Raw genomic sequence first — 11562 nt, 5'->3', positions numbered from 1 at the left:
ATATGACAGTGAAAATATTTTTCATGAAGAAACCTCTTAAATAAAGTAAGGCAGCAGCTGCCCAATATAAAGATGGGAAAATATTTGAACTGGGATTTCACAAGAGAATGCATAAATGGGCCGGGTGTGGTGGCTCATGCCTGTAATCCCAGCACTTTGGGAGGCCAAGGCAGGTGAATCACCTGAGGTAAGGAGTTCAAGACCAGCCTGGCCAACATGGCGAAAACCCATCTCTACTAAAAAAAAAATACAAAAAATTCGCCAGGCATGGTGGTGGGTGCCTCTAATCCCAGCTACTTGGGAGGCTGAGGCAGGAAAATTGCTTGAACCTGGGAGGCAGAGGTTGCAGTGAGCTGAGATCCCGTCATTGCACTAAAGCCTGGGTGACAGAGCGAGACTCTGTCTCAAAAAACAAAAACAAAACAAAACAAAAAAAGTGAATGCGTAAATGACCAGTAAACAGATGAGTTGATGTTTAATGTCACTGGTAGTCCAAGAAATATAAATTAAAACAGTGCCTTTTTTTTTTTTTGGCTTTCAGCTTGGGTAAGATTAAAAAGATGGCCATATGGAAGAAACTGTAATAACTACACATATATATGCACTGATGAAACGTGTGAATGTATACTTTCTGTATGCCTAACCATTTATAATCTGATTACCCTATGACCCAGAAATTTTACTTCTAGGAATATATTCCAAAAATATAATTATGAGTATGTGTAAAGATTTAGCTACAATTATTCTCATCAGATTATTATAATTAAAAGTTGCGAAGCAATCAAAATGTGTAATAGGGAGATAGTTACATAAATGTGGCACATTGATAGAAGGAACACTAAGCTGCCATTCAAAACAAAAGTCTTTTTGAATTCTTTGCTATGGAAGTTTGTCTATGAAATATTAAGTAATCTAGGAAGTAGATTACAAAATAGCATTTGTGTCAAGGATCTATAGTAACATGTTGAACACTTGTGTGTTAGATACTAGGCTAAGTGCTTTATGTTGATTATCTCATTTAATTATAACATTCCTTTGAGTAAATATTATTAGCCCTATCTTATAGATTAGTTAACAGAAATAACAGGGGGCTAAATAACTCCAGGTCACACCAGTTGGAAGTGTGGAGCCAGGTTTTAAGGATCAGCTTCAGAATTTGTACATTTGTGTATGTGCATGTATAATAAAAGGGCATACACCAAATAGAGTAACAATGTATCCTGTTAGTTGTAGAACTTCAAGGGATCTCAACTTTCTTATTTATACTTTTTGCAGAGTCTGAGAGTTTTAGCCTGTACTTTTCTTAAGAGGAAATAAAAGCAATGGTGTTTTCATTTCTTAATGTTTTTATTATATAAGAAGGGCAGGCAGCACTGGTTTTAATTTGTATACAGTACATGTCACGTTTTATTTCAAGAGGAAAAGATGGAGAAAAAGAAATAGCATATTTAATTGGCATTTTTTATAACACCCATGGGGCATTATTAGGAAATTAGTAAGTGACGTTTGTGGAGGTAGCTGTTAGGGTAGATACAGAGAAATGGAGTTTTAAAGAATAAAAGCAATTGAACATTAAACACATATTTCTGTTTAAAATTTTAAATACTTTTTGGAAAATTAAAATATTAGTATAGAGGTGATTTTCTTTTTATTGGTCAGCCATCAAGTATTTACTGAATACCAAGCACTGCCAGCAGCAAAGAAGAAGTATAAGATGTAGAATTAATGCTGTAGGTGTAGATACAAAACTTCAGGAAGAGGTAATCTGTATTTAAGATAGTTATATGATCAGGTGGTAAATTACAAAGTTCAGATGAAAATATAGAGAGAGGCCTGGGTCATGAGAATGGGGTTGTATATAAGATGGTTAAGGTTGAATAATACTCATGTGTCATAGAGAAGATACATGGAGAAAGCAAGCGTTGAGTTGACACTGAACGCTGGGTAGGTAGTGACTGAAAGTAGAACACGTTCTGTAGGCAAAATAGCCTGAGCAAGTAGCAGATACAAGAATGAGCAGCTTGGAAATGTACAGTTCAGTAAGGTTTTGGCTGGTTTTCCTGAAGACATAGGAATTAAAGTAAAGTGAGACCAGACTATGGAGAGCTCCCACTGTGAAGCATTTATGCGGCTACATAAATGTATCTAGATGCAATTATCTAGATACATATAAGAAAGTATTTGAAGGCCTTCTACAAGGCTTAGTTATTATATTGGTTTACTACAAGTTCTTCTTCAGTTTCTGTTAGAAATGTTAAGGAGAGTCCTATGATCAAGTCTGTGCCTAACAGATTTGGAAGCTCCTACTACATATCGTAGGTTTTATTTTCACTTTCCAAACTGTATTTTTATAGTGCACCAACAACATTCCATGGATTTTTACGTGAAAAATGATGAACTTGATTAGTGTGAGGAGGCCTCTGTACGCTTGTGAACAGAGTTCTTAATTAAGAAACTCTGCCTTGGGTGGGGCTTTGGACATGGTGTAGCCTAGCTTCCCACCTCAGTGAAGGAATTTCTCTTATAATAATTCCCAAATGAGATTATTCCTATTTACCTAAAATAATTAATAGAGAGAGGAAGATGAAGACCTAATTAGTTGCTTAGCCCGACATTTAGAGTAGCCTATTGCATCTTTGAAATACATATTTATAACTGAATGAAAATTGAGAAGCACATTTTTTTTCAGATTTGTATTTGTTGGAAAAGAATCACGTGGAACACTAAATCATAAGTTAATTTAATCTTTCAAGTAACTTTATCTTTTAATCTATGCAACATGGAATATCTATCATGATATTAACTATTTTAGTTATTTGAGTTGTTTTATAATGCACTGCTTGTAGATGGAAGAAGGCGGTATGTTAACGGTACATATAAAAAAAGTCTGGTTTGGTACAAGATTACATCTCTTTAATAGTAATGATTTAAATCACATCTTTTTAAAATTTGAAGTAGTGCCCTACCAAAGAGTTAAGTTATTACCAGTAACATACACCTCCTCTAAATAAAATAAAAGAGACATGATGATAATTTCTCATAAACCTAGAGTTAAGATTTATCTAGTTCTGTGTACCTGAGATTGCCCCCTTGTCAAACTGATTTTGTCTACTTCACTCAACATATAGCATATTGTTGGTAGAACTGGTAATTCAGAACAAAGCAGAAGACACAGTCTGTTTGTTGAGTGTAAATCTAATTTATGAAGCCATCCAATCACAAGAAATTGCATGAATGAATTTTAAATCACATATAAAGTCAATAGTATTGCTAGAGGAGACTTAGTCAAGGAAGACATTATGGAGAATTTCCAAATTTCCAAAGAGCAAAAAGATGGGCTTTGATGGTCCAAGGAAGGTTTCCATCTAGAAGAAATAGCAAATGGCTGAGTCTGTGAATCTACTGAGTCTTGGACTGTTTATATAATCTTTGTAGTTCGAGATATAGCACAGTGCCTTGTGCATATTTGTATTTTAAAAATATATAGTACCTTGTAGATATTATAAAGAGTAGGAAGTAGACTTTAATAATCTTCAGTATAGTGCAGCCGTTCAAAATGAAGTTTAGGATTAGAGAAATTATAGCTTGAGTCTTAGTTTAACCACTTGTTTCTACCTCTGATATTAGTCAAGATCTTTACCTTGACAGTTTCCTCATGTCAAGGGGGTACATCAAGAGTCAAAATTTGTGATTGTAATGAGCTAAATCTTGTGAAGTAAGATGCTATCTTAAATGTCACCCTGAAATGAAATAGGAACATGGCAGAATGCTACTTTTGTGGCTTGTATTAACATATAAATGCATCCTTTATTGTTTGCTATAGGCTTCTAAGAAGTGATACTAATTGGCTTAAATATTATCTGTGCCATATAATTATTTTCTCTTGGATGGGGGCCAAAATGAGAGAGAGCGTGGGAGGAAAGGACAGGAAGGTTTTTTTCTGAAACAGTAGAGGTGTTCAGACATCTTCATCTAGGTATTTAGAAATTTAATTAAGGCCCATCTTAAGGTAGGGTGAAATATCCTCTTTTCTAATGAAAGAAGTTGATGTCTAATGACCATATATTGGCAGTAATAGACACAGAGTCTGAATCAGGAATAGGAAAAGAGAGGCAATAACGTGTAACATTGGGCAGAGTGTGTGCTCCTGCTCTGCTCTTCTCTAACAGCTTCTTTCCTGACTGTTCTTTGCTTTGTCCGAAAGAGGTAGTCTCTCTATTGTCAATGGGCTCTGTTTTTGGTAATCTTCTCATTTGTTTTCTTCTAGTGAGTCCTGGCTACCATACTGGCTAAAACAAAATATGCTCCCACTCCATTCCTATCCATGACTTTTATTTTAGCCTGGAGGTTCAAATCTCTAAGGACATTTTGACTTTTATATTTGGCTATCAGTGTTCTCAGATAATTCAAGACAAATAGTCACTTAAAAATTTTTTAATGTGCTATGAAATGATCTACTGTGGAGTTTTATGGAGGAAATTCACATATACTTATAAGAAAATACAGAACTTTAAGTAATTTAGAGGCATCTGTGGAGTGAATCAGGCTCTTCCTGTGGCCTCAACTCTCCTTCCTTTCCATACTTTTTCACTTCAGCTTCCTTGTGCCTGGCTCTGGATATGCACTTAACTATAGGTCAGAGGTAAGATTTGATAAGCAGTGTTCTTAGGAGATTAAGTTATGAAACTTAACTCATAGGGAACCAAACATTTGATTTAGGAAGGGAGCTAACTGCCTAGGAGGTCCTTAGGTGTTATTTATGCTAGAAAGCAAGGTCCTTTCTAGGGGCCAGACTTATCCTGATGTATAGAATGAGACTTGTTGAGAAATGCCTGGGAACAAACTGTAAGAGTGATACTAGGTACCCTGGATGCCTAAACCCGTTAATAGGGTTCCTAAATACTTACCTTAGAAATCACTGGTGACTTAAACACTACAGAGAACCGTAAAGATTTATGTGATCCAGTATATTCTACCAAATTATTCCTGGTGTAGTTAAGTCTGACTTAAATAGAAATATGACCAGATAACATGCCTGTACCAATTTTATGATCTTAAACTTAAAATTTTAATTTACTTGGAAACATTTAATGGGAAACGTTGAAAACTAAGTAGTTGACCAATCATGGTGAAATTTTCTTGACATATACTTTAACAAATCCTGCATTTCAACAACAGATAAAAAAACAACTGAGGAAAAGCAGATCTAGAACATTTATATGAAGAAATAGAAATAAAAGTGCTGGTTTTATATGATTTATAAATCCCTTTCTTTTTAAAGACTGGTATTTGGGAATGGTAGGCAATAGAGGATCGGTACTTGGTTGGTCTTAGTCCCACTGTTTATTATTGATTAGATATCCTCCATGTAATCTTTTGGGCAAGTTATGTTTTTAACTTGAGATTCACTTTCCTCATTTATAAAATAAACGGTTACCAAAATTACCTACTTGGTAATGTGGTACTGAGAATTATGTAAAAGGGAACTATGTAAACTATCTGGCAGGGCATCTGGAAGTTAGTACTCAATGGTAAATATTAACTATTAATAGTGATAACTGCAAACCTTTTTTAATATCATATGTTTTTACTGCTATTTCTCTAGATCTTTTTAATTGATCATATAAGGTATGCCCCTTTAAAAAAATTGAAAATTCTTTCTCTTTTTCTTATATTAATTTAAACTTATAAAATGATGTGATTCCCTTGTCTTCCTTCTCTTACACATTGTAACTCTCTGCTGCACCTAGATGCATTATAAAATCTTACTAATGTAAACATTTTAAAACTTGAAGCATTTTCCTCATAAGAGCCATGTTTCTTATATTTATCATAGTAAGAGAACTTCTAGATATGACCTTACTAATCCTTATAGTCTTTCAATAAATATTGCCATTTGGAATCTACTTTAATGTTTAAAAATATTAGGGATTATAAAATATGTATATATATTGTAGCTATAAGTACTTAGAAAAACGTTATGAAATTATGACAGTAATACAAATTAAGCTAAATATTTCTAGTGAAACCACCACATTTACTTGATAGAAGTTTTTGTATACTTTACTAATTATTCTGCATACGCAGGTCATTTTAACTTAATATTGCAAAATAAGCTCTTTTTTCCATTTTTCTTAAATGTAGTTTATAATAGCAGCATGCTAGTCCATTACAGTTTTCAACCATAATTAAATCAGCTATTTCCTCGTAATAAATTATTTCCAGTTTTTAGATTATAAATCGTGTTTCCATGCACTTTTTATACTTACAGTTTTTCCTTTTTTTGTTGTTGTAGGATTAATCTAGGAATGTTATCACTGGGTCAAAGACTATCAACGTGCTTTTGACTCTTGAAAGGAAAGTGCCTTTCAAAGGAGTTCTGATAGTTGGTATTGCCAGAGGCAACCTATAAATAAGGTTCTTCCTGCCACTTTCTAGCAATGGATATAATGGCTATTAAATTGGCCAATTCAATCAATGTTAAGTGATATCTCATTTTTTTCTTCTTCTTTCTTTACAAGGGACAGAAATAATTGTTGACATACTGTTTTGGATTAAAGTGGGTAATCGTGATGAAATAATTTGGAATTGGTAGTACAGTTATAATAAAGCACACGTTGAAACTAAATTAAAAAGACTCTTTAATGCATCTTGTTGACTTTTTATGTGAAGAATGTGTATGGTCACAATTGAAACTCTTATGGGAAAATTTTAAAGTTTTTGAAGTAAAAAAGAAAAAAGAGGCCAAAAAACTTTAAAATGTATTTCCATCTTGTAGATTCAATTGCTGATTTCTTAATGTGCCATCTACTTTAAACTCTTAAGTATCTGAAGCCCAAGTCACTACATGTAGAATTAGAAACCACTGTTTTTGGTTTTAAGGGTATTTATAAATAGCCTGAGTGGAACCTTTATCTTCAGTTTTACTGTTAAAGCCTAATTGAGTTTTACTATTAAAGGTGACTATACTCTGTCTTCCTCCTTAGCTTGCTTTTGCTTCATTTATAGAACAGACCCTAGTATTTTAAAAACAATTATATATGCCACTCATACCTACCCCTCTCCCCCCGCTCCCAAGACAAAATGTATGCATGTTGAATGAACAGACATCGCGAAGTGGGGGGATTTCTTTGAGCTGTAGAATTAGATGATGAAAAAAGGGAGAGGGGGAAGTGTGAGAACTACAGAGAAAAGAAGACAGTTAGAGAAGAAGACATGGAGATATGAAAGAAGTAGCTTTACACTTTGAGTTCTCATTGCCTTCGTATTTCTTCACAAATTCTCAGGCAAGCTGTAAGGTAGGTTGTTTTTTAAGGCTTATTGATAAGCAGTTGATTCGTATTTTAGGTCAAACTAATTCTGCATCTCTTTCCCATTGTTCTTTTCTATTCTGCTTCTTTATTCTACTCTATTTTTAAGAGAAACACTGTCTAACTTGCTGGCTCTTTCTGCTCTGCTGTTGCTCCAGCCCTGCAGCTTCCCCACCGTGTGAATTTGCACTTCAGTGGCACCATTTCCTGTTAGAAACCAAAGGCAGGCCCCTGACTTTTCTAGGTGGTGATTCACACAGGAAAAGACCTGAAAAGCTGTATCAGGGCACCTGACTTCACCGTGGGACTAGCTGATCGACTTGAAGCACAAATGGGGCCCTGGAATCTTTTTCCTACCTTTTGGTCTCCTGTGGGACTGAGGTAGAGTGGTCAAAAAATTTAAAGATTGATGTAAGTAGATTCTAGAACACAAATTACAGAAGGTTAGAATCGATGTTTTTCAGATTACCCTGGATAGAAATCAAGGTGAATGATACTGATATTTGAATCCAAATCAGGTATTTGTTGTTTTTAATTATAGTAAAATACATGTAACAGAAATGTACTATTTTAACCCTTTTTAAAACATTATATATTGTCATGTAACTGTATCTAACATGGAAATATGTGCATGCATATGTAACTTACAAAGATGAAAACTGTTCCTTCCTTATTTTGTAATAGAAGAACCTTAAATATCACTATTTTAATTTTCTTTTTAAATTGTGAAATACAACTTAAAATTTTAGTTTAACCATTTTTAAATGTATAATACAAGGTGATGTTTTTTCACTATATAAGTTAGGCTTTACATAAAGGAATTACATACAGTTCTATTAGAGAAGCATGCAACTAAAAAGAGGTTGATTTGCAGATATTTCACTTTTTTGGAAATGAAATAACTGATTTTTTTCCTCTTCCATCCCTCTTTATTTTTCTACACATATATTTTGGTACTTGAAGTATTGCTAAGTTTTTGAACCCAGTTTTCCTCCAAGGTAAAGGTTTTTTTTTTTTTTCTTCAAAATCTTGAGTTAATTTTTTCATGTAATGAATTTGCAATCCATGTGCAATCGATCTTTATAATAAAAATAGGAAATTGACATTTCACATTGTATCCATAATTGGCATAAATTATGATGATTAATAATGTCAAGTTTGTGAGTTAGGGTACCCAAAACTCAACTGTTTCACTAGAGAAATCTTAGCAAATCCAAATTATTTAATTGTTTGCATTTTACCAAATAATGTTTTCAGCCTGTTATGGGGACTCTAGAGAGGTGGTTATCTGACAGTTGTCAAGTCGGAGGAAGTTAAGATGCCTTTGTATCTACCTGGGCTCATCATTTAGCTATATCTGCAGTCATTTGGTAATGTCATCCAGTCAGTCAAATGTGTTTCATTTACTTTATTCATCAATATAATCTACATTATATTTACGACAGTGACTGTTTATAAAAAGGCAGTATATAAACCTGGACAGTTCTAAATTCCCTTGGGTACCTTTCTTACCTCAGTATATGTTAGTAAATGATGATTATGTCCTATGCAGTGGAGTGCCAGAACTCTTGCATCTGTTTAGACTACTCACTGATTTTCTTTTTTTTTTTTTTAACTCTGAACAAACCAAAGTGTCCAACATGTGTAACTCACTAATGTTCACAACCCACTTGTAGCGAAACTAAGAACCTTAAAATGACCTTGAAGCTATAGCAGTAGTGAGCATCAGATATATTCAGACACTTTATGAGTCGATTAGCAACAGAGACTTCTTCCCTTAGAAAATAGAAGTAGTTGGGAAGCAATGACATTTGCATAAAGGCACTTCCTTTTGCCACCTTTTGGATTTTTTTTTTTTTTGTAGAATTATGGTTTAATCTTACTGCTGTTATTAAACTGCTTTAAGCTTCTTTCCAAGTATCACAGCCAAATTGAAGGATTTATTTCCTTGCTTGCACTTTGAAACATAGCTGTCAAACAAAGTAAGCAAAGGCAAGTGATAGAGATACAGCCCCTTTGCATTTTCAGTTTATTTGCATTTGTTCATGACTTCTAAGACACTTTAAATTTCCAAAGGAGTTTGCTTTCTTTAAACTCTGTCATATGTACATTGTTACCTGAATGAGTCTGTGAGAGATCAAAGTACCTGTCAGCTTAGTAAATAGAAGAGATTTTTTTTCTCTCTGAGCTGGTTATAAAGGGAGATTCCATTGGCTTATTTATGTTGAGAACTTAACATAGTTAGGAAAACAGTGGGTGGTTAAAGTTTGAAAAGTGTCAGGGAAGAGGTGGGTGGTTTCTGTAGAGTATCAAATATTTGAAGTATATTAAAGCTGAAATAAGTGAAAATCTGTTAGATTACTTGGAGTTTCTCCTAATTTCCTATGTTTTAGAGAGACTTTTTCCCCCTCAAGTGCATTTGCATATATAGAAACAAAATGTGGCTTCCACAAATGATGTTGCCTATCTCTCTTAAAGTAATATTTAAATGAATAATACAGACTCGTTAATATTGTCAATTATTTTATAGGATACTTGAAGCTGAAGAAGACACAAATATCAGTGGCCTAACTAATTTGTACCTATGGAATTACTATTTTGGTGAAAAATATTTTCACTCCACGTGTTCATTGTGTGTGCATGCCTGCCCTCTCTCGGCAGTGGTCCAGCTGATTGCTGCTGTTACTGTTAAGGGCTCTTAGTGTATCAAAAATAAGTTCTTGAGCATGACAGAATGATGCGTATACTCATTTTTTAAATTGGAAACAAATGTTCTGTATTAACTATATAGTGAGTACAATCAAATACATAAACCATTAGATGGGCAACTAAGCTGGTAAGCCATGGAGAATTTACTATTTTGTTGGATATTTGTTAGAGCATGAAGTTGGAATTGAGAATGTATTTTCTCCTGAAATATAGTTGATGATTATGTATCTGTCTGTGAGGTGTGGTTAATTCCACAAAGCTTATTTCTTCTACAGTATCCCCCAAATTAGAATATGGTACTGCCATTATGTGATAACCCTGTATATGACAGTGTATCTATTGGAAAATGTTTTGAGTTTTCGTATGAATTTTTAGGGGCATTGCTGTAGCTCTGACAGTATAAATATGGATTTGAAAGTTATAAGCCATACACAACTTGATATTTCAGAGGCTAGGAGTTGCAGTGGGGCTCCAGTGCACTGGTGGTGATAAAACTGTTAGGGGTTGGAATCTCTTTGCACTTTGATCTCTTAGGAACTGTCTTAACCCTAGCTGTATTTCACATGCCCCTTTTCTTCAAGATCACCAGAAACTTGCTTAATCTGCTACCTCTTCACAATGAACAGCTGATGCTCTGGCCATAGTAGCTATCAGCCCCCTTTCCTGCTAGTTAGTTCCTGGGTTAGTGTCCCCACAAAATTCATGTCCTTTTTGGGACCTCAGAATGTGATCTCATTTGGAATTAGAGTTGTTGCCAATGTAATGAATTAAGATGAGGTCATCCTAGAGTAGAGTGGCCTTTAATCCAATATGGCTGTGTCCTTCTAAGAAGACACACACATAGGGAGAGCACCATGTCACAGAGGCAGAGATTGGAGTGATATATTTACAGGCCAAGGAATACCAGCGATTATTGGAACCACCAGAAACTCAGAGAAAGGCATGGAACAGATTCTGCTCTACAGGCTTCAGAGAGAACGTGGCCCTACCAACAACTTGATTTTGGAATTTCAGCCTCCATAACTGTGAGAGAGTAGATTTCTGTTCTTAAAAGCCACCTGGCATGTGCTACTTCCTTACTGCAGCCCTAGGAAACTAATACACCTGCCAATAAGTAGAGAAGAACACGGTCTCTGAGTTTCTCCCCTGTAAGTCTGTTTTTTAGCAAACATGTAAGTAATTTTTAACGTTCTCGAAAATTCTCAAAAACAAAACCAAACATCTGTAGGTGAAGAACATTCATTTTCAACCATCACTTCAGTTTGGCATTTTATGGGAAAGCTATTCCATACTAGGATCCCATCCCCAGAGGTTCTAATCTGGTGGGTTAAGGGTAGGGCCTGGGCATCTGTATGTTTTAAAACTTCCCAAGGGAATCTTGGAATATGCAGCTAGAGCAGAGAATCACTAGTGCAGAGGGAAGAGTAAGAACTAGCCAGGTGCACATTAGAATCAGTTTGTTGGCTTCTGAAACTTACTGATGCGTGAGCCCCAACACCAGAGGTTAGGGATGCAGCCTGCCATTTGGTTAGGGATGCAGAGA

At 34.8% G+C, this 11562-nt stretch overlaps 1 protein-coding gene across 16 annotated transcripts in view, besides 1 other annotated feature; it reads left to right on the top strand.

Annotated features, from left to right (window-relative positions):
• Positions 1-11562, top strand: part of KLF12 (KLF transcription factor 12) — a 619957-nt gene that overhangs the window by 271559 nt on the left and 336836 nt on the right. The window contains exon 1 of one of the 16 annotated variants that reach the window (NM_001400141.1): positions 7599-7721. The exons of the other annotated variants lie outside the window; for them this stretch is intronic. The gene's annotated coding sequence lies outside the window, so the exon portion shown is untranslated. Of the gene's footprint in view, positions 1-7598; positions 7722-11562 lie in introns of those variants that run through there. 16 annotated transcript variants of the gene reach the window in all.
• Positions 7605-7684: an enhancer, noted in NCBI's record as "active region_7817". NCBI's record gives its function as "activates an Ori minimal core promoter by ATAC-STARR-seq in GM12878 lymphoblastoid cells {active_cell/tissue: GM12878}" and the evidence as "EXISTENCE:reporter gene assay evidence [ECO:0000049][PMID:35858748]".

Source organism: Homo sapiens, chromosome 13, assembly GCF_000001405.40.
Source record: "Homo sapiens chromosome 13, GRCh38.p14 Primary Assembly".
In the NCBI taxonomy this organism is placed as follows: Eukaryota; Metazoa; Chordata; class Mammalia; order Primates; family Hominidae; genus Homo; species Homo sapiens.
Note: the sequence above shows the minus strand (reverse complement) of the source record. Positions and strands in the feature narration are given on the sequence as shown.